Below are 27,120 nucleotides of genomic sequence, written 5' to 3' on the forward strand. Positions count from 1 at the left end.
GCTTGTTGCATTTGAATTAAGAACTTGGAGGCTGTCTGTGAAATGACAGCACTGAAGAAGAGGCTTCTTCTCTGTACAGTGAAATAATTATACTCTGAGATGTAGTGATTTTAAAGAACCTGCATACAAATGCCATTTTACAAAGAATTGTGTCTTATGCTTCAATTGATGGTTTCACAAAATGCCATTAAAAATGGACGATCAGATTTGTCTTTCCCATTTTTTTGAGATCTAGCAATATTGAACTTCGTCCTCATCTCAGCAGAGCACAGGAATTTGTGTCATTCATTTCCTCTTGCATGCAGGATACAGACTGTACATAGTCATTAAAAGACAGGTTTACAAATTGCCTCTTGCTACTTCACAGGTTTAACAATGAAAGCACAAGTGACATGCAGGTTGCATGCAAGCAGATGTGTTCAGCATTAAGAATGTGTTTCTCTGCATAGTGTGATGGTTATGTCATTATTCACTCCTGCACTTCAAAACAAAGACGCTAAAAGGGAAAAAGTAAGTGTGGCATTTGGGTGATAGCACTGAGAATCTATTGACAGAGAGTTCCACAAAATGCCGATCACTGAAGATAACCACTTATCTACATCCAGTAGGATTTGCTTTCATGGTGAAATGGTGTGTGTGTTCACTTCAAGTGACAGCGAATAATACACACTTGAATGCTATAGAAGCTATCCAAGGGAAAAGGAGGCTTTAGGAGTCTACAGGCTGGAGAAGGGTCAGTGATGAGCATACAGAAAAAGATAAAACAGTGGGGTCCAATTATCCTACCAATGTCTGACTTGCTTTCCCTTTGATCTGGTTGAACACTACTGTATTTTTTTTTTTTTTCAGAGACACTAATGAGAATGTATCCTGGGGAAATCTTGGAGCATAAGGTGGACCAGGGTCCACAGTAGAAATTTCTCTGCCTAGGAAATTTGTGAAAAATACATTTGAGGAACACAATCAAATGAGAAAGGAAATCCATTATAGTATGTGTTCAATTATAATGATCTATATTTTGGTGGTAGAAGAAAACCTCAAGGAGATTACTGTATTTCCTTTCCTTAGCAAACTGGCTGCTCTGGATTAATACAGTAATAAGAGAGTTCTCTATAAGTAGAAAGCCATTCAAATTGGCATCCATAAGCTTTAGTTTAATGAATCGTAATAAGAAGAATGGCTACTATTTTCAGGTGCTTCCAATGTAAGGCATTTTCACATATTTCATTTAATCTTCAGAAGATTCCCACAAGGAAAAATTTTATTGTACTAATTTGATGGATTTGGAAACTGAGGTTCAAAAAACGAAGTAACTTGCCCAAAAGTGCTTTTCTGTTAAGTTGTAGGTCTGGGTGTTTCAGCATCCTGGATTGTTTTCTTATAATGGATATCCATTGGGATTCTTAGTTTCCAGCCATGGGTGAAATACAGCAATGAAGGGAGTAGGAAAGTACTCAAGTCTCTATCATTATATAGAAAGTAAACCACCAGCATGGACTCAGCTGAGGCTCATAGATTGCCTGTGCTACTTAATGTAGACCACCTGTTTGATTTCCTGAATGTGGTCTATGTAATAGGTTTTTGAACTGGGGCTCTCACTCCTGATCAGAAGCCAACGTGAAGAAGGCTTGGTTTGGGGGCTGCAGGGTACCTGTTGGTGTGCGAGTTGTTGTGCATGAACCAGCTCCGGTTATTGTCCACATACATTGCCCAAGCTTTGTCGTCTTTTCCTAACATCACATCCTTCATCACGTCCATGCGAGCCACACCAAAGGCAGGATCAGGGTGGTTGTCATAGCGATCTACCGTGAGCTCCCAGTAGTGGATGCCCTTGGAGAAGCCAGTCTTCCCTAGCACCACCCGGTCATCATAGCTACTACAGGTCACTGTCAGGTTGTCATTGGAGAGGATGATGTCCGAGTGCGCCGAGCCAGGGTCGAAAGCAAACCAGGCCACTGGGAACAACAGAAGGGAATCAGGTTATTAAGACAGACCCAACAAGCTCAGCACCATAACATACTCCTGGGCGGGTGAGGAGCGTTGTGTAGCGTTTTCATGCTGCCATGCAGGAAGGAGGCGTCCAGGGCCAGGGCAGACAGGGGCACGTCCTGGGAGTTGGTACTCTCTGCACCAGAAGCAGACGGAGGACACACGACCGATTCAGCAGGGGTTACCTGGCTCAGACTGCACTCCCAACCAGGTGATCCGGGAGTGAAGTGGCATCGATTTTGGAAGGTGCAAGTCCCTTCACCTGGTGACTGGCAGAACAGTGCACCAGAGACATAAAGGGAGAGGGGATGCGCTAAGATGCCTGTGTAACCCCTGAGGCGGGGAGGCTAGGAGCTAGAGTCCTAGATGGAGGAGGGATAAAACACATGGAGTGAAATCAGGAAATATCCCTTCGGCAGAAGTGCTAACATCTAGTCGCTTTGAAGTCTTCCTCGGCTCTAGTGAAAGCTCACAAGCTGCGAAGCTATAAGCAACATAAACTAATTTTCATGAGTGATTGTGACTTGCATGTAGGACAGGTTGCTGTCTGCATAACTTAAAAAACACAGTTTGCGTGCTACTCCTGAAACTAACACGTCAGAAATTTTGCTGGAGCAGTAGGAATTTCGGACATTAGGTGCAGATAGAATGATGTCTTTGTACGCATTGTTACGCCCCAAGTTCTAAATGCCACCTATAAATATCACACTCGAGAGATGTAATTGCTGATTTATTAAACCTGTGAGACACCTCACATGCACTTTGGTCTTTGCTATTTGGTAACAGAATAAGGTTATTCCATACCTGCCAACAGCTTTTTAATGTCAACTGTTGTCATTCCAAGTGAAAGGCATGGGGGAGAGAGATAGGAAGCAAAATTGACATGGATAAGAAAATGTGTCTCTCTTGATAGACTAGTACCCCAAAAGGACTCAATTTAAAATGCCACATATACTAAACAGGTGCTCTCTGACTTGTACCTTTACCCACATTTAGTGCTCATAAAGAGTGCTTTGCACTGATGTAAAAGAAAACTGGGGGAAAAGTAAGGTTTGAGGCATAACATTAAACACTACAGGCATCTTTTCCATTTTTTAAGAGTTTGAGAAACTGCTATAATAGGGTTAGAATGACAATTAGACAATTTTATTGACATAAGACAAGTTGCCGCCATTTATTTTGTGAAGGAAATTGAGCACACCAATCACGTAAGTAAAAGATAATTACAATAGGTATACTTGCCTAATTGAGAGTAAGGTGCAGATTGTGTCTCAAAATTGCATCCTATAAAGAGATACTACACATCAACGCTATGAAACAACAACCAGGTTGATAAAAATTACTTGTATACGCTTAAAAAGCACCAGTTGAATATAGATACCAGAGGCCTGATCCATGAAAAAACAAAGCCCTTTTTATATTATTTAGTTTGTTGGGTAAAAAACTGCCCCTCTGCTCTTTCAAAATGAAAAGCACATCTTTTTACCATTTAATAAATCCTCCTCCAATTGATCCTAAACTCTGTAGCTGAATTTTTCATCTTCCAAGTTCAATCTTTTCCTCTAAAGTTTCCACAGTAAGAAGGCTAGCTGTTTTAAAAATGGGGAAAATGTACTTAATTGCAACGGAGAAATCACTGGATTTTGATAAAACTCTGCTCTCACTATTCTATGCACTTCTAACTCTGGTTATGCCAAAAGGTCTTCATTGTGACTTGAGCCCAAATTAAATATAACTAAATGTGTAATGTAATCCATTTGTGAATACATACATCTTATTAATAATTATTAATAATGACATGACGAATGTGTTAAAACTGCCTCCTTTCCTTCTTAGGAGACAAGATCCTTCTCACCTGAGGGAGGGGAGGAGGGATGGTAGGAGTGGGTGTGGTCTCAGAGATACATTGGAATCCCCTGTGGAACTTTTTCAACCATCTCCCTTCCTTAAGATTTGGATACCTGTACCCCATGAGAAATTACATTGTGTGGAGGAAGACTGCCTAGTCTTAAAATGTTCAAAAGTGTGTGACCTACAATTTCCAGTGGTTTCAAGGACTGATCTAGAAAATGTGGTTTTGATGAACACTGGGGGATAAAGAAAGGATCATTTTATTTTCTTTTCTATTTAGTAAGGCCTTTATATGCTAATTCCTAAAACATTTGCAGGATAATGTGCTGACTTAAAAGAATTTTACAAGAATTAAAAAAGCAACTTACTATAAAAAAGGACTAATGGCTGAGTTAAAAACAAAATATAAAAATTATGATCTTACTTTTGGTTAGTTTGCTTTTCTCTGGGATGAATTCACATGCAAAAGAATCGTTTCCTCCCATCTCATGGCTGATTTTTATGTTTTGTTTCTATCAATTATCACTTCAATTCCTATTCATGTGTTAGAGCATAGTGACTATGGAATACCTGGAGTTTTAAAACCGACTCTCATATTCAGCTTGGAAATAAGTTTGTAGAATCTGAATAGGGCTTTAAAAACTTTTAAATGAATCATGCCTTGTGCAACTCTTTTTCAAAACAAATATTCTGAAATCTTTTTACACTACTTTAAATACATTATCATACATTTAAGATTCAACAATACAGCTAGAATAATGCTCTTAAATACACCCATCAAATATCCCAAAACTCACATTTCATTTTATTCTTGAGACAATGTGCATTACAAAGACTGTAACGATATTTCAGTACATTAGACACAAGGGAAAAGAGTTTCATAACAAAGCATGTTGGGAAGCCATAGTGCACAGAAAAACAATAAGAAACATAAAAGCACAAAGAAGAATGTCATTTTAAAGACAGCTTGAAGTCCCTGCATCCTTTTTGCACTGTCATGCTGTGGCCTTCTTCATTCCAGAATGTGGGATGAGCAAAAAGAATAAAATAAAAACCAAAAGAAACCTTTGGAAATATGAAATGTGCATCATGTGTATCCATGATTACAATATAGTCCTGAAGAGATCAAATAGGTCTGCATCTTATATATTTTAACATTCTATTTGCTAGGCAGTGTTCGCTACAAAGGAACACAAGTCTAGCTTTGCTGAAATCAGCCTTAGGCTCTGTCACAACCAGCTTGGCTGTGGGAAACTTCGAGGAGTCCAGACTTTTTGATTACTCAGATCTTTGGTCATTAGGCATTAGGAGTTAAGGGTTTCTAATTCGGCTAGCAGTGATCCCACCCCATTGCTAGGAAAACACTCAGCCATGAGCCCCACTGTCCTAGCAGTGAGCACAGGCTTTTGCAGAAAATGCTTTCACTTTCTGCTCTCTGGATTGCCTGCTTTATAGGATGCTTTCTGCTGTTGGTGTGTTTTTACTTTTATTGTACTTTGTCAATAAAGATCTCTTGAGTCTATGTTTAATCAGACCACTCCAGGCTGGATGCACTGATCCAGTCTCCCAGACACTGCTGGTTTCCTGGATACAGAAGGGCTGCAAACCTCCACATTACTGCCATGGCCGCCACTCAGCCAGCGCCCGTGCCGTGCTATGCCACTGCATGTGATGACAGAGCGGGTTATCCATGGTGGTACCAGCTTGTGCGAAAAGAATAACTTCACTCATCACTTTCTAATGCCGTAATACATGGACCACAGCTCCATGGTTGCTCCTTCCACCACACAAACAAGAACGCCACAAAGCTCCACCATCCCGATGCTCCTCATACGGAAAGCAGGCCACAGACAGAGACTAGCTCATCCCCCTCACCACGCACATGAATGGCAAGAACAAGACACGCGTTTCAGAGATGCCTTCAAGGCACAGAGATCAAGGGGAAAGGTCTGAGGAGCTCAGCTCACCCGGTGCATTGAGAGACTGTAAAGAGGAATGCAAGCTCAGCTGGTGGGGTGAGGATCGGAAATCAAAGTAGGATCTCCCGGGGAAGCTGGGTTGTAGATTAAGGGTGGAGGAGAAAGGACTCATTCTACGGAGCGGCAATCTTTCCGAAGGCACTGGAAAAGGGAGGGTCTGTTCTTCTGAATCTGTGTCTAAATGTAAGATCAATGCAAACTAGAGATCAGAAGTCTGCTATTATGTCCCCGTGCACGGTTCCCCAAGACCTGCCTTAACAATGCATTCATACAAAGCCTCATCTTTCCCACAGGGTGCCACACTCAGGCATTTACAAAACCAATGTGCCTGGGGGCAGGGAGGGAATTTTCGGCAGATCAGGACCCAAGACCAGAGGACACCTCGAACAACAAAGGCAATTGTTGTCACTTTCCCGATTTTTAGTGGTAGAAAATTGGAAGGTTTCCTTTTAATTAAATAAAATACTTTTAGAATTGAATGTACAAAATGTAAAGGCAAATTTTACCTATTGATGACCAAGAGGATATTATTTTACCCCCTTCAGTTGTCCTGGGAGTTACTACCTATTCAACAATGGCCTCTTAAAGGGTTTCTATCTAAGAGATGGTGATTTTTTACAAACTGTTTCCTATTCCATATTTTCCCATTTCTCTCCTAATGTGTATTTTTCTATTAGATGGATGAGCTGATTTTTTATACTAGCACACTCCAGACTCTATCTTTGAATAGGAGAGGAAATGTGGGGTGGTCTAAGGAAGACAGGGCTGGACAAGTAAGCAGGGAAAGAGCCTTACCTTTGTTTCTGAATTATGATCAGACTCTAGGGATGTCACTTGACCATCTTTGTTTCTCTAATGATAAACAGACTGTAGGCAGTGGTGAGGTGCATTGGTGGCAAAATATCTGTTTCTGTTCAGATAGTCAGGTTTGGCCTGAAGATAATTATTATATCAGACTAAAGACTTAACAATTATTTGATCTGGTTTTAGAAGGGCATGAGTTAGTTTCTCTGAATTACTAAAATTGGTCCTTTCTATTTTGTCAAACAATAGCTGGTTCTATGCACGGTGTGGTCTAGTCAGAGGTGGATCTTTCGCCAATTGAAGCCTTCTTAACATTCAGTCTAATAGCAATAATTTAGGAAATACAGATGGTAGGAAGGTAATATGCCATGTCCAAAATCACAAAGGAACTTTCTTCTCATTGAAATAATAATTTTGTTTCTGTGACCAGAGGGTATTTCCGTGAATTTTTTTCTGGTTTGAATCAGTTAGCAGCAATTCTTTGCTGGACATACACTTCTATCAAAATGTTACTCGCATGTTGAAGCAAAAATAACTGGAGCACGTGTGTGTGCAGAATATCATCCTATGTGAAGAGCTCTGAACAAGGGCATTGGCAAGTTTTAATTTAATACCTCCAAGAGTCAGCCTCTGAACTTACAATATTAAAGTTAGCTTTTCAGGCTTTAGACTTATCTGTGGGGGGATGACTTTTAAAAAATGAAAGTATAAACCAGATCTCAGAGAAAAGGAATTGCTATTTATGGAGTCAAGACTTTGTGTTCCCACTAAGAATACATTTTTCTCCTACCTAAACTTCATATGGTTTGAATGACTTAATATCATGTATTATCATTTCTTTCTTCAGATATGATAAATCAAAAATTATTTGTTATAATCATCTTAAGGGGAAATTAGCCTTTGAGTGTAATAGAAAAATTCAAAATACAACACCCAAGCACCACAAACTGGCATGGGTTTCTATTATGGAGCGAAGGCATTTACAACTATATTTATGTCAATAAAATATTTTATTTATTTATTTATTTAGTATTATTTATTATTTTTTGAGACAGGGTCTCACTCTGTTGCCCAGGCCAGAATGCAATGCCACGATCTCAGCTCACTGCAACCTTTGCTTCCTGGATCAAGTGATTCTTCAACCTCAGCCTCCAGAGTAGCAGGGACTACAGGCGTGAGCCATCACGCCCAGCTAATTTTTCTATTTTTTGTAGAAATGGGGTTTTGCCATGTTGTCCAGGCTGGTCTTGAACTCCTGAGCTCAAAGCGATCTGCCTGCCCCAGCCTCCCAAAGTGCTGAGATTACAGGCGTGAGCTACCACACCCGGACTAAAAGATTTTTTTATTAACAAGAATTTGCTTGGAAATGTATTTTTCACTAGGTGTGACAGTCAATTCATGATATTGAAAATATTTGTTGCTTTAAAATTTAATGGAAAGGACATATAAAATAATATGAATTTCAGAGTGCATTGAATTCCCAAGCAGTTATCTGAAAACCAGTGAAGAGATGTTTACTGAACACAGACCTTGGGGAGTGTATCCAATCCCATCATAAATTGTACTTACCTTTTCTATTCTCAGCACCAAGAAGAACTTAGAGTAGGTGATGACACCCCTTTATAGGGTGGGGACTGAGGGTAGCTATGGTTATTCACGGGATTAGTAACTTGGCATTAAGATGGTTATGGCTCTTCCTATCCTTCCATGTGGATCCATTGTTTACTGATGACCCAATTTTCCTTGACTCCTTTCACTCTAATCAGGCAAGTTTATTTAACATCCATACTGTACAACCATTTCTTTTTTTTTTTTTTTTTGAGTTTTTTCCCCATCTATGACCTCCCATTACCTACCAGCTGGGCTTTTACCGTATTTTCTCTAAGTAGCTGTTAACAACAACAAAAAAATCCTACCTTGCAATGAGAACTTTTCAAATGAATTACAAGAGAGAAACACTTTCCAACTGATCCCAGCTTAACTAAACAAGCAATTCTCCCTTCATGCCCTTCCCCATGGGCATGTAGTGCACATGCTGGGTCAGCTGCCTGTAAGTCATCTATACCACTTCACATTACCTTAGATTTCAGGAGTCTTAGAGGGAAGAAACTTAATATCATCAGAGGAGCTGCCATCAAGCTTCCCCTTGAAGTCCCCTGGGATGAGGAACTCATTGCTTCCAGCCAGCTCCCTCTAGTTGGCAGTTATTGCTTATATTGGTCTAGACATACCTCTTTGGGAGCTCCACTCTCCAATTGTAGCGTTACTATCTGGGGCCACATGGAACAGATCACTAGTTCTTCAAGTATTTGAGGCCAGTCACCAATCCTCTTTAAATCTTCCCTTTTCTGGGCTAAATAGAGTCAATGTCCAACCATTTCACTATGTATGGATTCCAAATCCTTTACTCTCCTGGTCATGCCCTCTGGACATGTTCAAAGGCATGAATCAAAGACAATATGACAACATTGAGAACAGTATTGCCACTCCCTGGTTTAGCCGAATCACACTTAACACACATTGAATGTGCACACACCTACTTAAGTGCGTATTCTGCGTTATGCCCATGGGATGCAGGAAGAAGGCACACACTACTTCCTCACCTCCCCTTCAAAACACAACTATCACAATATGGAGAAGGCTTCTCAGCCATTCATATTCTATTATTAAGGACAAAGAGGAATGAGGTTGTCATTTTTTTTTCACAATACATGATACAAAGCTATGTTTCAGGTCACAGCTAATATGCAGGATAATAATTATTATTAATTTTTAACTTTATAGATCACTAGAGAAAAATGAGGAGCTCCTGAAGAGACGTTTAACATCACATCATATTTCATCACACGCAGGGATCCCGTGTGGTTGCAGAGCTTTGCTGAATGAAAGCAGTTTAGCAGGAAAGAGCAATGGAAAACAGTATGTCAATGGCCAAATGTGGTGACTCTAGGCATAACTATAACTCTAGGACGGGACTGTGTTCGTAACGAATACGTATCAAGATATGCTTTCCATCAACTCTGTCAATGACCATCATTTTCCTCTTGCTCTTTCCTGGACTTCTTTCCCTTCCTCACTAGGATTGGCTGGAGTCTGGAGTTAGGGTCTAGATAAGGGCAGAGACCTCTGCTTAAAAAAAGCAATCAAGAATCAACAAAGCAAAGATTGGCTGGGGACCACTTGTATTATTGACTGAGAATATCTAGGTGATGTACTCCTGTTTGGCCACCATATATTTCTTTTGTTTCTTTATTTCTTTTTTAGAGACAGGGTCTCACTTGGTCATCCAGGCTAGAGTGTAGTGGTGTTGATCATAGCTCACTGCAGCCTTGAACTCCTGGGCTCAAGGGATCCTCCTCCCTCAGCATCCTGAGTAGCTGGAACTACAGGTGCATACCACTGCACCTGGCCAATTTTAATTTTTTCTGTAGAGACAAGGTCTTTTTATGTTGCCCAGGCTGGTCTCAAACCACTGGCCTCAAGCAGTCCTCCCACCTCAGCCTCCCCAGTGTTGAGATTACAGGCATGAGCCATGGCACCCAGCCCATATATTTCTTTTATTTGTTCATTAGCCAACGCTATTGAACACCTGTCATGTGCCAGACATTGCAGTAGAATTGAGCCGTTGGGAAACATAAAGTTGGCAGGAGACTCAACCATAAGAAAAATAATAATTTAGAGAAAATCAGTGTCATATATTATTGATTGGTTTTTACACTTCTGGGGGTGGAATTTCTTGACTGACTCCAAGGACAGAGTACTAAAGATTTTTGCAGATGTTGTAGAATATTTGAAAAGGTAGCCTTTGGGGTGTTATTTTTGGAATCTAAAGAGGAAAAGCAAACAGATTGTGGTTGCTTATGATAGTGTATACTAATCCAGTGCCCTCTGTGTCCTGGTAGAAGTCTGGGTTGTCCTCCTGTCTGGCAGTGAACAACTTCATAACTTAAGCAGCCCTTGAACCCAGGTCCAATAAGATGGTTGTATTTTGGAGCACGGTAAGGCAAGACATGTCACGAAGAATTGTACAGTGTTAAAGATGAGTTTCAACTCAATTATAAACCAGCTGTAAAATAATTTGCTTTTGTTGGGAAGATTTTAAAAGAGACAAAGAAATGAATGAAGAATGAGGCTGTTTTCATAAATGGTCTTATAAGCAGCCAAAGTCACAATTATGTCCAACTGGTACATAATTTATAATAAAAGGTGGTATTTTAAGCTTTGTTAAGTGTGGCATTAATTGCAATTGAGAAGTGAGAAACAAATCTGTTTTGAAAACCTTCTTTTAGAAGAATGAAACAGCTTTTGCCACCCCAAGGACAGATGCATACTTCATCACCAAGTTCTCCACTCCAATTTAGAATACCATGGCATTATTTATAAGGAACTATCATCAGAGGAACTGAAAATTCCTGTATTTCAATTACATACAGAGGATTCCAAAGAATGAAACTGCTTTCCAGGGTATCAGTTGCAAAGCACACTTCCCAGAACCAAAAATAGGGTTCTGAATCTCAGTCCCATGGAAAAATGCAAGAAATTCCCTGGGATATCATGCATGTGTCAAAATTTAAAAGAACAAAGTATCTCTCTTTTCTGGGCTCTGAAACCTATCATTATGCCTCTCACCTTGGATTTTGTAAAATTTACCCAAATATGGTCAGGTATGATTACCTACCTTGAGAACTTTGTCCTGGAAATGCATATTCTTCTAACTATTTTTGGAGAGGCCCAGATGCTCTGGGTCAGGAAAAGCAGAGACAGAAAAACCATCTTTCAGTAGACCATATACATTTCCTTATATGATCCTTTATCAATCATTTTCTATTAGTGTTGAATTTTCAGTATCATAGGCATAACTTTAAGACTCATTATGACCCTTGGAGGAGGCAGGAGGTATCTAATGCTGCTTCATAGCATTTTCTGAAACAACTTTCAACAGCAGTTTTAGAGAGAGAAGCCACAAAGGTACTAATTGTAAAGACTCAGAGGTCCTCAGCTGTAAGTCCATGGTTTTAGAGATGAGAAAACTGAAGTCCAGAGAGGCTAAGGGACATATCCAAGTTACACCACAGCTGTGGAGGGATACAATAGAGACTCAGGTAGGATCAATTCCTGGAGGATAAAATTTTGGGGTGACAAGACTATTGCTGCTCCTTTGTAACCTAGAAATATACAAAAGGTAAAGCTTATGCCACTGGCCCCAGGGCACATTTCAGTGGTCTCAGTGGGGACCAAGGTTTGTGTAGAGGACCTAATAAACCCTAACTGTGTTAAGGATACATCTTTTCTTCTTTAAATAGAGTGTTTAGTTTATGTAGTGGTTAGGGATTGGAAAGGCACACACATCACTGTCCTCCTTGGAATTTTGGCTAGAGGGATTAGATGGGCTGAGGTGTTCCCTGTAGTTGTTCTTCTGACAGGTTCTTTGTTCCTCACAAGGTGACAGCATTTCTGGAGGTCTCAGCACATCAGGGTGCAGTACTTATGCTGGACCAAAATCACTATTAAATATGAGCAAAGGAGCTGGGCACGGTGGCTCATGCCTGTAATCCCAGCACTTTGGGAGGTCAAGGCATGAGGATCGCTTGAGGCCGGGAGTTTGAGACCGGGCTGGGCAACATAGTGAGACCCTGTCTCTACGGAAAAAAAAAAAAGCCAGGTGTGGTGGCATGCCTATAGAGCCAGTTACTAGGGAGGCTGAGGCAGGAGGATCACTTGAGCCCAGGAGGTCAAGGTTACAGTGAGCCACGATCGTGACACTGCACTCCAGCTAGGTGACAGAGTGAGACTCTGTCTCTGGAAAGATAAATGAATGAATGAATGAATGAATAAATAAATAAGTAATTGCAAAAAGATTCTGGACAGATGCATCTGAGGCCAATTTGCATTCAGACAAATGGAAGCATAAGTTTATATTTTGTCTGCACCATTACATCTTTTCTGGGTGGTTTCCTTCAATGCACAGAAGAAGGAGCTACTACAATGAAAGGGGCAGCGTGATGCTGAGAGTCTAATCGGGGAGAAAGACATTTTAATCTTTATGAGTAACATTGTCTAGGCCCACTTTTTAGAAAGCAGTTTTTAAGATGTAGTTTCAAGAATCCCAACCTATTTGTCATTAGATAAAACAATCCTGAAAAATGCTGGGTAGATGGCTTGAGAGCCAGCCCTCTTTTCTCTAATTATCACTGACTACCTTCTCCCCATTTTCCCTCCCAGTTAGGACAGGCAGGGCTGGAAAGCTTCTGTGAATAAATGGCTCTGTGATGTCAACCCAAGCAGGGCTCTGAGTGCCAGACCTCATTTGGTAGTAACTTTCATTTGGTAGTATCAGAGCCTCAGAGATGTAGCTCTGATATTCCTTTTCCTTCCCGGGCAAATCTCGTCACTGCCAGCCAAGAGTATCCACTGGTACCAGTGGGGGAAGGGCCTCTCTAGGTGACCTGCTCACCTGGGATGGGAGGGAGCTGGAGGAAATTTCTGCAAAGACATGAAAATGAGCACAGGACCTGATAAAGAGTTTGGATATTATGCTGGAAATGATGGCCACTCCCACATCTTCTTAAAGCTGGAACGCTACTCTTTTCAACAAGACTCTTTTTTTTTTTTTTGAGATGGAGTTTCACTTTTGTTGCCCAGGCTGGAGTGGAATGGTGCAATCTCAGCTCACCGCAACCTCTGCCTCCCAGGTTCAAGTGATTCTCCTGCCTCAGCCTCCCAAGTAGCTGGGATTACAGGCGCCCGCCACCACACCCAGCTAATTTTGTATTTTTAGTAGAGACAGGGTTTCTCCATGTTGGTCAGGCTGGTCTCGAACTCTTGACCTCAGGAGATCTGCCCAACATGACTGCAAGTAGTAAAGTCCTCCTTCTGGCTGGGATTTCTGGATGAGCATATGAGGCAGCTACACAGCGCTGCTTCATTTTGACAAGGTGTTTTCAGTCACCTTGCAGACAGACTTTGGATAGTTTTCCCTCTCTTTCTTTCCATTTGGTTGAGGGCAAATAGCACTTTTCTAATGTTAGCACCACAGCGGACTGTGCTGAGCATTGGCGGCTTAAAGTCCTGGATCTGACATATTATTATACTTAACCTCTCAGCAGCTCAGTTTCCCATAAGTAGAGAAAGATGACAATAATAATACCTTCCTCATAAAGTATAGTACTAAGAATAATGGGCCATCTAAAAATGTCCACATCTGAATCCCCAGAACCTGTGAATATGTTATTATCCATGGCAAAAGGGACACTGCAGAGGTGATTACATTAAGGATCTTGAGATGGGGGGATTATACTGGATTATCCAGGTGGGCTCAAGGTAATCACAAGGATCCTTATCAAAGGCAGGTAGGGGCTACATGGTGGCTCATGCCTGTCATCCCAGTACTTTGGGAGGCCAAGGGAGGAGGATCACTTGAGGCCAGGAGTTTGAGACAAACCTGGGCAACACAGCAAGACCACATCTCTACAAAAAATTTAAAAAATTAGCCAGACATGGTGGCACATGCCTGTAGTCCTAACTACTCAGGAGGCTGAGGTGGGAGGATTCCTTGAGCCCAGGTGTAGGAGGCTGCAGTGAGCTATGATTGTGCCACTGCACTGCAGCCTGGGTGACAGAGTGTGACCTTGTCTCAAAAAAAAGGAAGGTAGAAAGGTCAGAAAGAGATTGGAAGATGCTACATGTCTGGCTTTGTAGCCACAAAGTCTATCTAAATAGACTAAATAGATAGACTTTGTCCTACAAAGTCAGATGTCTAGCCCCTACCTAAATAGACTTTGTAGGCAGAATCTACTTAGATAGGAAGAGGGAAACTAGAGAAAAATAAACAGAAAATGTCCTATCCTGTTCTCAGCCCTGTATGATTTTTTAAAACAGGAGTACAGCTTGTCTCACACATAGCATAAACCTTAGAACTCTGTGTATTAAGATGGCCTTGCTGTGTAATGTTTTCAACAGATACTCTTTTGCAGATGGTTTCAAAGACTGGCACAGCCATGATGGCTATTAGATGAATTAATTTAAAGATACCCATGACCAAGTTTTGGGGCTTGGGGGCCTTATTTGAAAATTTCATTAAAATTCTTAATTGCTTACAGTTATATTTCATCTTAAGTCAGTGTAATTTGGTTTAGATGTGCAACTGGCGTTTTTTCCATGGGTGTCTTTGATACATCTCCAGGAACTTTGCTTTCAGAGAACTATCCACACTTGGACTCATATAATAATGCATTCTCCTTTCCTTTTCTCTGTCTCTTTTTTTTAAGATGGGGTCTCACTATGTTGCCCAGGCAGGATTCAAACTCCTGGGCTCACAGGATCCTCCCGTCTCAACCTCCCAAGTATCTGGGATTACAGGCATGAGCTACGGCACCTGACTCCTTTCCTTTTCTCTTAATAGCATGTTCTTTATAATTTCCATTGAATTTAATTAATTTTTATTGCTTTCCTAATTCTCCTATAAAAATTTTATCTTCCTGCTAATCCCTTTTCCCTGTTTTTCAGTGTTTATCACAATGTGTAAAAATGGAACTATTTATATGTTTATTTCTCTAAGGCTTGTTTCCTTTTCTAGCTTGTAAACTCCAGGACAGTAGGGATAACGTCTGTTCAACACTCTATACCCACAGCCTAGCACACAGTGGTCACTTATCAAGCACTGCCCAATAAATAGACAGATAAATTTGCTTTCGAAGAAAAAACCAATCAAAATTTATAGTAATGTAGACATTTGATCTCCCCTGCATAACGTTACCTTTAGATCAGCAAAAGGTTTTGTGAAAGCTCACAGAGTACAAAAGATGAGCAATTTAAACCTCAGACTAAATGCATGTGATTACAAGTTAGACTTGTTACCGCATATGAAATTTTACCTTTCTGTGATACAGAATTTTTGTTTTGAAGTTTGAAAAGGGATTAACTCTTGCTAAGAAGAAGGTGAAAGATTTTGTTACACTAGAAAGCCAGAACGCACCACCCCACCACCCCCAATACCAGCAAAGAAAAAAAAAATCTCTAAAGCAAACCTTTCTGGAAACTGTAGGAAATAAGATTAATAAAGCATAAGTGCAGTGAATGTACCAAAACTCTGTTAATAGCATTTTTCTCACTGATTTCTAAAAAACAAACAAAAAAGAGATAATTATTTGATCCTATAGGCTTTGTCTATTGTTACAGATCGATCATATCTTTTTTTTTAAAATAAGCTATTCACTATATTTTTTCTTGCTTTCTAAATCTTGTCTCACTGAATGTATTAGAATGAGGGAGAAACAAATAGAACAAACCAAAGTTATGGAGAAAGTATGTGTGTGAACTTTATTTCATCATGAGAAAATTACTTCTGTGCAGTAACAGAGAATACTGATATCTATATGATGATAGGCTTTTCTTTGTATTCAGATACATACCTTATATTTGTACACAATATATAAAATTCATGGAGGAAATTAATTTCTACAGTACAGTTTCTTTGTTGGAAGAGAACTTGTTCCGTTTGTTTCATCTAGAAAATGACCCCCAGTTCTGTGACTGTGGTACCAAGGATCGCAGTTCCAATCCTGTAATTTATTAAATTAGACACCATAATCTTATGAACATTAAAATAAACTGAGGCGCTACATCCTCCTGCAGGATGAAACGAGAGACATAAGTGCTCAGGCTGTTATGCTAATAACTGATTTTTACCAGAATAGTATGATTCCCATGATGTATTATGAATAGAAATAGTTTTCCCGCAGATCTGATAACACATATTAGCAACATTGCTACAAATTTCTCTCTGCTCTGCAGGCATGCACTTCACTCTTCAATCAAACCACCTTGTACACACATGGGAAATGAGGCCATCACCAGCAAGGGCCTTCTGCGTTGCATCTAGGAAAGACTCTTGGAGGGCTTTAGCAGTTAGTATGGTATTTTGAGAAAAGAGGCAACTGCTCTCAAACTGATAGGTCATCCCTGAGAGAAGGTGCTAAAATGATAATTCTGGGGGAAGCTGTAGCTACCACATCACTGTACTCCAAATGGGAACAGGTCATGTGGGCATTTTCCCTCAGCATATCCTTCTCTTGGAATAGCATCACTTAGACTGACAACTGCTCCCCAAAGCACTGTTTTCACGGCTAGGGGCCTTTCATCCTTGCTGTAGGATTCAAAATTGTGCTTGTTTTTAACCATGTGAAGCATTTTAGGGTGACTGGCACATGTTGAGGTTTGTGGGAAGTGGGAAAAAAAACACCACCATAGTTCTTTTAGCTAACATCTTGAACTTGAACAAAATCAACATAATTAGTTCTGCAGAGGGAAGTTATGGAGAATCCCGGTGAGGTGGGGGGGTGATTTCTTTGATTAAAATGACACCCCAAAGTGTCAGAATGCTTTGGCACCAGCCACAAATACCTCCTTGTAGGTTTAATTTCATGTGTCTTGCTTACTCTTAAAATGAAAATGTTAAAAGCCTCAGAGGTTATATCTGGCCATCAAATTCAAGCCTCTCATCTGAGACACATTACTTGTCTTTGATGACCAAAATATTTAAAGTATAGCTAAGAAGCAAAAATTCTCTAGAGATGAACCTTGTATGGTGGCTCTCGGTAGCCTAGCCAAGACTGAAGGGACTGGCAAAGATGAAAATGGCGGGTAATGCGAAGTTGCTGGTCTCTTCCTGTTTGGTGCCCACAGGAAGTCTCAATCCTGGTGCTGACGGCCTCCGCTTTGGGTATGAAACGGAGGCAGTCTAAGTGGGTAAGCCAGGAGCAGCCAACAGGCCCTCTCTAAACAGCTCTAGCACCCCACCACCCATTTGAAACACATTCAGTCATACAAATCCACGACTGGAAAGAACCTAGGTCCCACCCTCAGAACAAGCAAGTACTACAGAGTAATTTAGAATCATCTGGGCAAAACTGGCACATGATGTGTATCGGTGGAGAATGGGAGCCTGCTCTAGAGCCTAGATACATTTGTCTTACACACCAGGGGCACATTCAGGCCTTCATTTTTCAGCTTCTTCAACTGCAGCTTATTTAGATTGTTATCAAAGGAAGCCGCCGGCCCAAGCCATTGGAACTGCCGATGTGGAATCTTTGGTTTGATCACATCCACATACCATAGGCTCTCTAAAGGCAGGAGAGGAACAGCGGCTCTGTGCAGAATGCAGAGCAAGTCATGGAAACACTTCAGGAATGTGGGCAGTGGTGGGGTTACCTCCGGGCTTGCCAGCCACTTTAGATGCCACGCAGTTCTCGCTCTGAGGGATACTGCTGAAGGGCCTTACCCTCAGACGTTTGGAGGACCAGGGTCTTGCTGTACGGGCTGACTCCTGTTTTGTTGAAGGCCTTGACCCGAGCGTTGTATGTGCTGTTGAAGTGAAGACCATCCACAGTGCACATTGTCTCCTTCCCCACATACACCTCCTGAGAGTCAGCAAAGAACAGGACAGCACTTAGCCTGCCCCCTTCTGAGGGGCGAGGGAGGCAGTGTCGCTCAGTGGTTAGGAGCAAGAGCCCTGGTGTCATTCTAATCTGGATTTGAATCCTGTGAGATATTGGGCCATTTAATTTACCTTTTTAGCCTCAGTTTCCTAATCTGTAAAATGGGATAATAATATCCACCTTATGAGGTTGGTGTGAGGATTACTTAATGTTGTATATGCAGATTAGCGTCATGCCTTGTATTTAGCATGGGCCAGGCAGCCTAATGAATGGTAGTTATTAGCAGCTAGGGCTTAAAAAAAATAAAACTGAGTGCTTATAGTTCAGATTACACTTATTAACTTGGGATTGGTACAGTATATAGCCCCTACTGAGCTCCTTATCCATCAGTATGGTTTGTAAAAAACATGTTTGAAACCATGAAAACAGGAAGGTGGTCTCTATCCTATGTTTAGAACTCCGCTGATAACTTCAGAACTGTCACAGAGATTACACTCCAAGCCACCGGGGATAGGTTTTCATCACAGTACAGAGGGAAGGGGGAGGAAACAGGGAAAGGAGGAAGAATGACATTTCAAAGGCTTAAAATAAATCCTAGCATAATGCGTCTTTAGCATAGGTTAGGCATTTGCCTCCCTCTTCAGCTGTACACATTGCAAAATTATGCTGATGTAATGAATAAAAATAATTTGCATTCAAAGCACAGCCTTAATATGACAACTCTCTGGTAGGATACTAAGAAGACCACGGTCTTGGATCACCCATCAATTCATTACTCCTGCTGGAATAACAAAAATTGGAATATTATGTCCTCTCATTCAGTGCTTCTCAAACTTTACGTGCATATGAATCACCTGAGGATCTTGTAAAAATGCAGTTGCTGATCCAGTAGGTGTCTGGGGTAGGGTCTCGATTTTGCATTTTTAACAAGTTCCCAGGTGAAACCAATGCTGCTGGGGGAGGACCGCACTTTTGAGTAGAGGAAAAAGTCAAGACAAAATAAGATAATTATTTAAAGAATTGGGAAAACCGGGAGAGTTACTTTCCCAGGAGAAAAAAAAGATAATAAAGGGAAAAGAAAGGCCCTGAAAATGACACAGGCACTGAAAAGGCAAAGTCAGGAATGAGAAACTGACAAATAGGATTTTACACACACACAACACACACACACACACTCTCACACACACTGCAAAAGACATGAAATGGAACCTGAGGCCCTTATCTTGGAAAGAAAGAAATTAGATTTTATCATGCCAATAAATCAACATATATGTAAATAAGGCTTCTCTATCAAAAGAGAGAACCTTTGTCCTTGAGGAGAATTGTAGAAGACAAGGCCCCTGCTCTCAAGTACTTAAACCTAGTGGGGGATCAAAAACACATTCAGGAAAAGGGGGCCTTGAGAGGCTTTGCTCTTGAAAGCTAGTGGCTCAGGTTTGGCTATTGGTGACCAGAAGAAAGCCTCATCCTCACGGGCCTGAGGTTTTTTTAGACAGGGGTCTCCTCTTCATCAGTGCAGGAACTGGCCTCAGTCCCCAGAACGGCTGCTCCCTTAGGAAGCTCCAAGCATCAGAACTTCCAGGCAAGACTAGGGTGGAGAGGATGGAAAGTAGGGTGGCAGGGAGAGGATGGATGAGAATGAAGCTCTGTATGAGAGAAGCAGACACATGCCGGCAGGTGGTGGCACATGAATCATCAATCTGGTGGTACCACAGCTGTGTCTTACCAGGAGGCCATTCTGTCCTGCCTTCAGAGGGCAGCATGAGCTTCTCAATGGGGATAGGGCTCCCTCACCTTGGGAAGGTAGCAATCTTCTGGTACCAGTTCTATCTGGTGAAAGGCCCAGAACAAAACTATAGAACTGGGGAAACCTTTGCTAGAAAGGTTGCTTAGAATAGGGAAGCTATAACAGGAGACCATGTCAATTAAGAGGAATGCCAATCAAAGACATTAGAAGCTGTGGATTGCAGAAATAAATCTTGGACAACGGTTAATTATATTATTAGCAATAAGCAATGATGGTAATAATAATAACTAATAATGAACGCTTGCTATGTTCTAGGCAGCATGCTAAGAATTTTGTATGAATTATCTAATGGACTCTTAGCAACAAAGCATGAGATTCACGCTATTGTTATCATCCCTCTAGTTAATAAATGAGGACCTGAAGACTCAAAGGGGTGATAATTAGGCATTGTCCACATAGCTAGGGTGGAGGAGACCAACTTGAATGCAGGCAGTCTGACTCCAGTACTGCATGTCCTGTCTCATAAGAAGGGTAGGGCAGTTTCAGAGACTGCTCCATCCACCTTCACGGTAGAGGGAGAAAGCAGGCTTCAGGTGAAGGGCAGGCAGGCCCTGCCAGGATGGCCTGTCCCCAGGAGAGATGGGGAAGCCAGCCCTGAGACTCCCTGGCAGGTCCTCTGACAGAGTCACTGCTTTGGGTTAACAAGTACGTAGTGGGCTGTCTACTGACCCGGAATTGACCACCGTTGCCATCATCCAGCTCCAGAATGTATCCATCGGCGGGCACCGTGGACAGAGGTGGCTGTTTCCAGGACAACGTAGCGCTGTTGTTGTGGGTACAACATTCCTCCAGCTGTAGGATAGGGGTTGCTGGGACTGGAGAGGAAGCTAAACAGAAATTAGTGTAACTCTGGCTTCTGTTAAGCTGCAGATATTCCAGTATCTTAGAATGACAAGCATCCCCCTGATAAACACGTGGTTAGAAGTAGCCAGAATGGGGTGCACAGGGGAACTGAACAGGATCCTTCACAGAGTCCCCAGGAGTCAGACTGGCTCCTGATTTGCTGTGAGGCCATTTTCTAAGCGCACAGTGGCCCTTCCCACCTTCATTGTGGCTGTTGGAGGGGAGACAGGCAGATTCACAGAACTGTGTTCTCATCCCCTTGAACATTGAAGACATTATCCCTAAAGGAAATGTTTTACATGGAGGCTGGGGTTCCAGTCCAACCCACTAAAGCATATTTAACTTATAACGTGCCTGAAGCTGTGCTAATAATTTTTTTTTTTTTTTTTTTGAGATGGAGTGTCGCTCTGTCGCCCAGGTTGGAGTGCAGCGGCACAATCTCGGCTCACTGCAAGCTCCGCCTCCCGGGTTCACACCATTCTCCTGCCTCAGCCTCCGGAGTAGCTGGGACTACAGGCGCCCGCCACCACGCCCGGCTAATTTTTTGTATTTTTAGTAGAGACGGGGTTTCACTGTGTTAGCCAGGATGGTCTTGATCTCCTGACCTCGTGATCCGCCCGCCTCTGCCTCCCAAAGTGCTGGGATTACAGGCGTGAGCCACCGCGCCCGGCCGCTGTGCTAATAATTTTATCATAAAACTTATTCTGAGATTGAAACCCAAGTTAATAAACCAGAGACTGCCTATTCTGAGAAATAGCTCTGAAACCACTACATTTCCAATATTCCATCATTTTTTTTTAAAACCAGTGATTCTACTCCACGTCTTCTGCACGTAAGTAGCTACAACAGTGGATTTTTGAAAATTTGGATCCAAGTGAGATCACAGTGATCTCTCCGTTTCAAAACTTCCGAGGAACCTGATGTCATTCTCTCAAGGTAGCTATACCTCGAAAACAGCACTAGGTCAAGTCTACTCATTTTCAGGTATAGAACACCCACTGTGAGCCTGGTGCGTGGACTAGGGGCCTGGAGCATGACAAGGAGGCTCAAGATGTCTTTGCAGCCACGTGAGAGTCTGTCATGCTGTTACGAGTCAAAACACCACCCTCCACATTTTATACTGTGACTCTTTTCTAGTACTTAAACTGCAAATTAGTTGAGCCTTCAGACACACATAGAAATATTAGTTACTGAATAATCCCAGTTCTTCACATATAAACTTAATATATGTAGTTGGGAACCATGGTTTTGTGTGTGTGTGTGTGTGTGTTTTTCTTTTTTTTGAGACGCAGTCTCGCTCTGTCGTCCAGGCTGGAGTGCAGTGGCACGATCTCGGCTCACTGCAAGCTCCGCCTCCCAGGTTCGTACTATTCTCCTGTCTCAGCCTCCCGAGTAGCTGGGACTACAGGCCCCTGCCACCACGGCTGGCTGATTTTTTTTTTTTCTTTTTGGTATTTTTAGTAGAGACGGGGTTTCACCGTGTTAGCCAAGATGGTCTCGATCTACTGACCTCATGATCCACCTGCCTCGGCCTCCCAAAGTGCTGGGATTAGAGATATGAGCCACCGTGCCCGGCTGGGAACCATGTTTTTGCCAGCTGCTTAAAAATTTTTTTTCAGCACCAAAACATTGATTTATTACTATTATTACTTTAGTACTTTAATAACAGGAGAGAACAGCTTGGACCATATCCAGGGACATTTAGATGAACAAATGTTCATCATGGAACACCTGGTATGCTGTACCAAAATTGGACTCTGTGTCTTGTGCACTGAATTAAATCTATGCCTTGTCAGTCATCCCAACCAAAACAGTGTTTAATTTTACAGCAGTTTAGAAAACAGGTTCTATGGCAGATAACCTAGAAAACAAAAGCAGTGACTGTAACATAAGAAATGAGAAGGTGAAGCCGGTCAATTGTCGTATACTTAAGAAAACACTGTGAGACATTACAATAAAACCATGTCTGAGCTACTAAATCAAACATAGCTAAATCAAAATTAGTGCCTGTTAAAACTGCAGGCAATTGGTTTAGGAGAAGAAATCATGTTTTAAGCTTCAACGGCACAGGGTTTGGATGAAATCTTATCAAAGAGCTACAGCTACTGCAGGCTCAGAAGCCCCAGAAATCCAGATTTGGAGGAAAGGAAATAAATTCATTGTCTTGCTCACTAAATAAACTACAGGACTGGTTGGAAAGAGAAGGACACAGAAGACATAATGCCTTCTAATGAGAGTATCTAAACATAAATAGGCATCACCCAGGAGTCGTAATTGCAGGATTAACTTTAGGTCATTTTAACTACTAGGGACTTTCCTTTTTATTTTAAATTTGTTTTCTTTATTAAAATACATTTTTAACATATTTACTACGGAAGATAAATATAACAAGTTTTGGGAAACCATTCTTCAAAGGGCTTGTAGAGACATGAATGATTCCCCCCGGGGGGTATTTATTCTTAACTGTCCTTATTAGTTAGCGCCCACCATGAAACAATTCCTTATGCTCTTATTTCATTAGCTCCATATTAGTCTTTCTTTTTTCCTTTGTTCATGTTTCAGGTAAGTCTACATTTCATCAATTACAAAAATCAAAGAATAAGATCACAGATGGTTTCAACTTAAATCATGCAAATGCTTACAATGTCTCTGATAAGAAACTCAAATGTACCTGTGTAGACATAGGTATAATTAAAAAAGTAACTGAAATACATGATGTCATGTGTAATTAAAACATCAGAACTTAATTTATAAGCCCTTGGTGGATACAGTTTAAAAGACCAAAAGGATAAAAAAAAAAGGCTAGACTCTCAATAATCTTCAGATCTTGATATTGTCCCAGATTTAGACAAATTAGCAAATGGACAAAAAGTCAAAGGGAGTGGAGAGGAAAAAAAAAAGAAAGAACTAACCCAGAGATATTTGCATCTGTCTGAATCTATTCCTCCATGTGCTGAGAATTAGTTTTCCGTTTTCCTTATTTACCCCCAGTGATGTTGTATATAAAAGGTGAATGTGCCAAAATTACAGCCTCATTAGCAGAAACTCAGGCTGACATTCTAGAAAAATATATTTTATAGTGGGTGTTATGTTATCCTATTTAACTTCATTAGGCACAAAATAAATGGTCTACTAGAAATCCAAAGTACTTTCCAATTAATCTATCTTTTATGGTTTGGAAAAGGATAGCATTACAGTTTCTGGACTGAAATCTAAGGAAGAGCATTGTGTTTTACTGGAACTCCTGTTATTGGGGCTGTCATAGCTATATTGATTTTTACACTTTCTTGATCATTCTGGGGCAGCTTTTGTTTTTTCCTTAAGAATGAATTTCCCCTGACCTGATCAGGGTTCCAGCATTTATCCTTCTTTTAGCCTGTAAAATCAAGCTTTAGGCTAAAAATTCTTCTCTTAAAATACAAGGGGGAAGCTATTCTCACTGACTTCCTTGAAGAGGTCTGGCGGAGCTGTGGTTCAAAATTAAATTTTCCAGTAGCAGCTTCTTATACCAATGTTTTCAAATGTCTTCCCTTTTTAAGGCCACTCTATTTCAAATTCTATCTCACATTTTATTTGTTTAATTTTTTTTTTCAGTGATCTTTCAGATTGTGAACACTCACAACCATCCAGAATTCCTCTGTGAAAGTACACAGGAGTGTGGCAGGGACAAGTGAGAAGAGAAGCTGGGCTCCCAACCTCAACAGGGAACACTAATCATAAGGGATGCTTTCAAGCACTTTACTGAATGCCAGAGAGTGTTGTGAGAGGTTTACAGGTATTCACTCATTTAATTTTCACAATAATCCTATAAAGAAGGTATTGCAATTATCTTTATTGTGCAGCTGAGGAAATGGAAACACAGTAAGGTTTTACAGCTAGTAAGTGGCAGGACTGGCATCTGAAGCCAAGCAGCCTGGCTCCAGAGGCTGTGTGCTTAGCATTGCATCATACTGCCCCTCTCCAGTCCGGTGTTTAGAAATAGTGTACTGGAGGAAAGTCTGCACGTCTAATTCCCAAAGTTTCTTTCTGTTTCCTATAATGTGAACAATAAAGATTCCCCAAATAAAGATTCTACCTTCACAACTATGGTGGTTGGGAATGCAATTTTACTGTGTTATCTTCTCTGAAGGCTCATTTGTAGACTGTCATTCCCCTTTATGGTGGCTGAACAATACAAATGGCATCTGAGGAAAGTTTAGACTTTAGCAGAACTACAAGCTGTTTCTGGAAAGCTATTACCGGTACACTGTTAAAGATAACCCTGAACGCAGGTTTTGAGTCCATGCATTTCAGGCTATCAGCATTAACAGATTACATGCAAGTGTGTGTGCTCATTCCATCCCCGCTAACCCTCTGGCAGCTTTCCCCCTATGATTTATAGGGGACTCTATTCAGATCACACTGTCCTTGCCCATGACCTTGGTGCATACTCAGGGCTCTTATATTCAACTTGAGTCAATAAAAATAAATACACCCTTAGGTGAGTAGAGGCACTTAAGGGGATTAACAGCCAATGGTCTATGTGCTAAAAAGGCTTGGTGAACTGTTAGGTCATTGTTTCGTCCTGGTTCAGAATGAACAAACTGGCATTTCACTTCAGTACCATGACTCATGAATCTTGGGATTCTTTGTGTACTTAGACAATTCTGGGTTAATATTTATTGGGGGAGGAAGTAGGTATCTGAAATCTATTCTCAACCAAACAGTAAAGCCCTTGGCTGACTAGGAGAAGACTTAAAATTTCCTTCCTATGACCTGGAAAAGAGCTGATCATACAACCTTAGAATTAAGTGGAAAATGTTTTTTTAATTACTCTCTAATAAAAGTAGAAGACAAAACTTAATATGTTGTTTTCTATAAAAGAAAAGTCTGAAAGACCAAATGCCACTTCCAGTTTTCTGGAAAGAGGGTAAGATGATTTTCTAATCAAAATACAACCAGAAAACGTGCCATTACAATTTAGGGATATTTGAAAAAAGGTACCAGCCTTCTCCAGATTGATCCCATTGCTTGAGGGTGGTGTGGAATCAGAATGGGTCAGTTAAATCCGTAGCTAATAAGAGAGTAAAACTTTAGATAGTGCATTCTTGCTGAATAGCAGCTGGTCTGAGTGAAAATACGTAAAAGCCAACTGCAAACCTACTTTCTTTTTTATCAACAACAACAACAAAAACAACGGCAACAACAATGGCGTCTATGATGAGCTTTTGAAACCAGAGATGTTTGATAAAATTCTGAGTCAAGAAGTAAACAGATATTTTAGTTATGATTTTGAGTCAGAACTTTAAATGCATACTTTAAGTAAATTTGAAAATATTTTAACTTCCTCCTGTAATCAACTTAGCACAATTAGAAAATACATATTGGATTACATGTATTGTTAGTTTCACAATGGACGGATTACTTTAATACCACTCCAAATGCTACTTCTTTCTTTGAGGTGCAGTTTCTTGACATATTTTTTACTGACAAGTTGTGAAAGGGCAGTTTATTAAACTGACAAAGAATATCTTTAAAAAATAAGAAGATGAACGCCACAACAGGAAGAGTTGTGTATATATTAACAGATATTACAGAGGCCAATAGAAGTCTGAACTCCAGCCAATCAAGTTCTATTGTGTCATGACCTTTGGCTTTTTCTTTCCATCGCAAGCATCTGACAGATGAAAATTATTCAGATTCTAAAGAAGGCTAGGCTCTCACTGAATTAATTAAACTCAATGAGCACAAAGCAAAGCATATAAATTAACCAGGCAGAGTGATAATAATCAGAAGTAAATTAAATTAGACAAAGTGTTAAAAAAGAAAATGAAAATGGAAGACTATAATCCAGTATTATACCAAATGGCCTGTTAGGTTAACTTCATGAATCATTGTTCTGTTTTTTGTGTGGTTTCAGATGGATTTGTGCTGGGAGAGGGTTCTGCGTTTTGGCCCTGAGAATACTTGGTATTCTCTGCTGTGTGTGCAGACTTGAACAGACTGGACAAACAGCCTTGTCCCTCTTACTTTTGTGCGCAGTCCTAAGTGGCCAAGTGACAGTGCTTTAGAAATGTGGTCTGTGATGCAGAGAGCATGAACTCGCAGTTCCCATACCCAGTGAAGGGCCTGTTCACTCCAGCTCAATCTCTACCATCCTGCCAACTGGCCTGGACTCCACCGTGAGCAGATGGACATGACTCAGGAGGGCAATGAATGGGGGAGGAGAGGATTTTGACAGATGATTAAAGCATTTCAAAACCCTGAGGCTTTTACCCTCTAACTGCCTCCTCCTCCTGCCCCCTCACTGAGGCTAATTGGGTTAGCTCATTTTTTCCTCTTTCACCAAAAGCCTTTCTATTGCTCTTTTGTGACATATTTTTTCCTTTAAGCTACTTGTGACATACCCTTCAGTGATTTTTATCTCATTGAA

The 27,120-nt window shown here is 40.9% G+C and overlaps 1 protein-coding gene across 39 annotated transcripts in view, besides 1 other annotated feature; it reads right to left on the bottom strand.

Moving 5' to 3' along the window:
* The window catches only part of TRIM9 (tripartite motif containing 9), a 119,840-nt gene that overhangs the window by 4,883 nt on the left and 87,837 nt on the right, over window positions 1-27,120 (bottom strand). For 4 of the 39 annotated variants that reach the window (NR_170650.1, NM_001387380.1, NM_001387379.1 and 1 more), the window contains 2 exons: window positions 20,535-20,692; window positions 15,916-18,040 (listed from right to left, as the gene is read on the bottom strand). Coding sequence is in view for 26 of the 39 variants with exons in the window: in NM_001387380.1 (NP_001374309.1) it covers window positions 17,852-18,040; window positions 20,535-20,692 (347 nt within the window). In the remaining 13 variants the exon portion in view is untranslated. Of the gene's footprint in view, window positions 1-1,651; window positions 1,956-2,174; window positions 2,352-2,793; window positions 2,818-3,133; window positions 6,019-15,915; window positions 18,041-20,534; window positions 20,693-27,120 lie in introns of those variants that run through there. The other 35 variants (NM_001387369.1, NM_001387360.1, NM_001387361.1 and 32 more) reach the window with 28 other exon arrangements.
* Window positions 5,659-6,365: an enhancer, noted in NCBI's record as "NANOG-H3K4me1 hESC enhancer chr14:51452525-51453231 (GRCh37/hg19 assembly coordinates)". NCBI's record gives its function as "activates a minimal SCP1, AML or CMV promoter by ChIP-STARR-seq in primed H9 embryonic stem cells {active_cell/tissue: H9 hESC(primed)}" and the evidence as "EXISTENCE:reporter gene assay evidence [ECO:0000049][PMID:30033119]".

This window comes from Homo sapiens, chromosome 14 (genome assembly GCF_000001405.40).
Source record: "Homo sapiens chromosome 14, GRCh38.p14 Primary Assembly".
Lineage (NCBI taxonomy): Eukaryota > Metazoa > Chordata > Mammalia > Primates > Hominidae > Homo > Homo sapiens.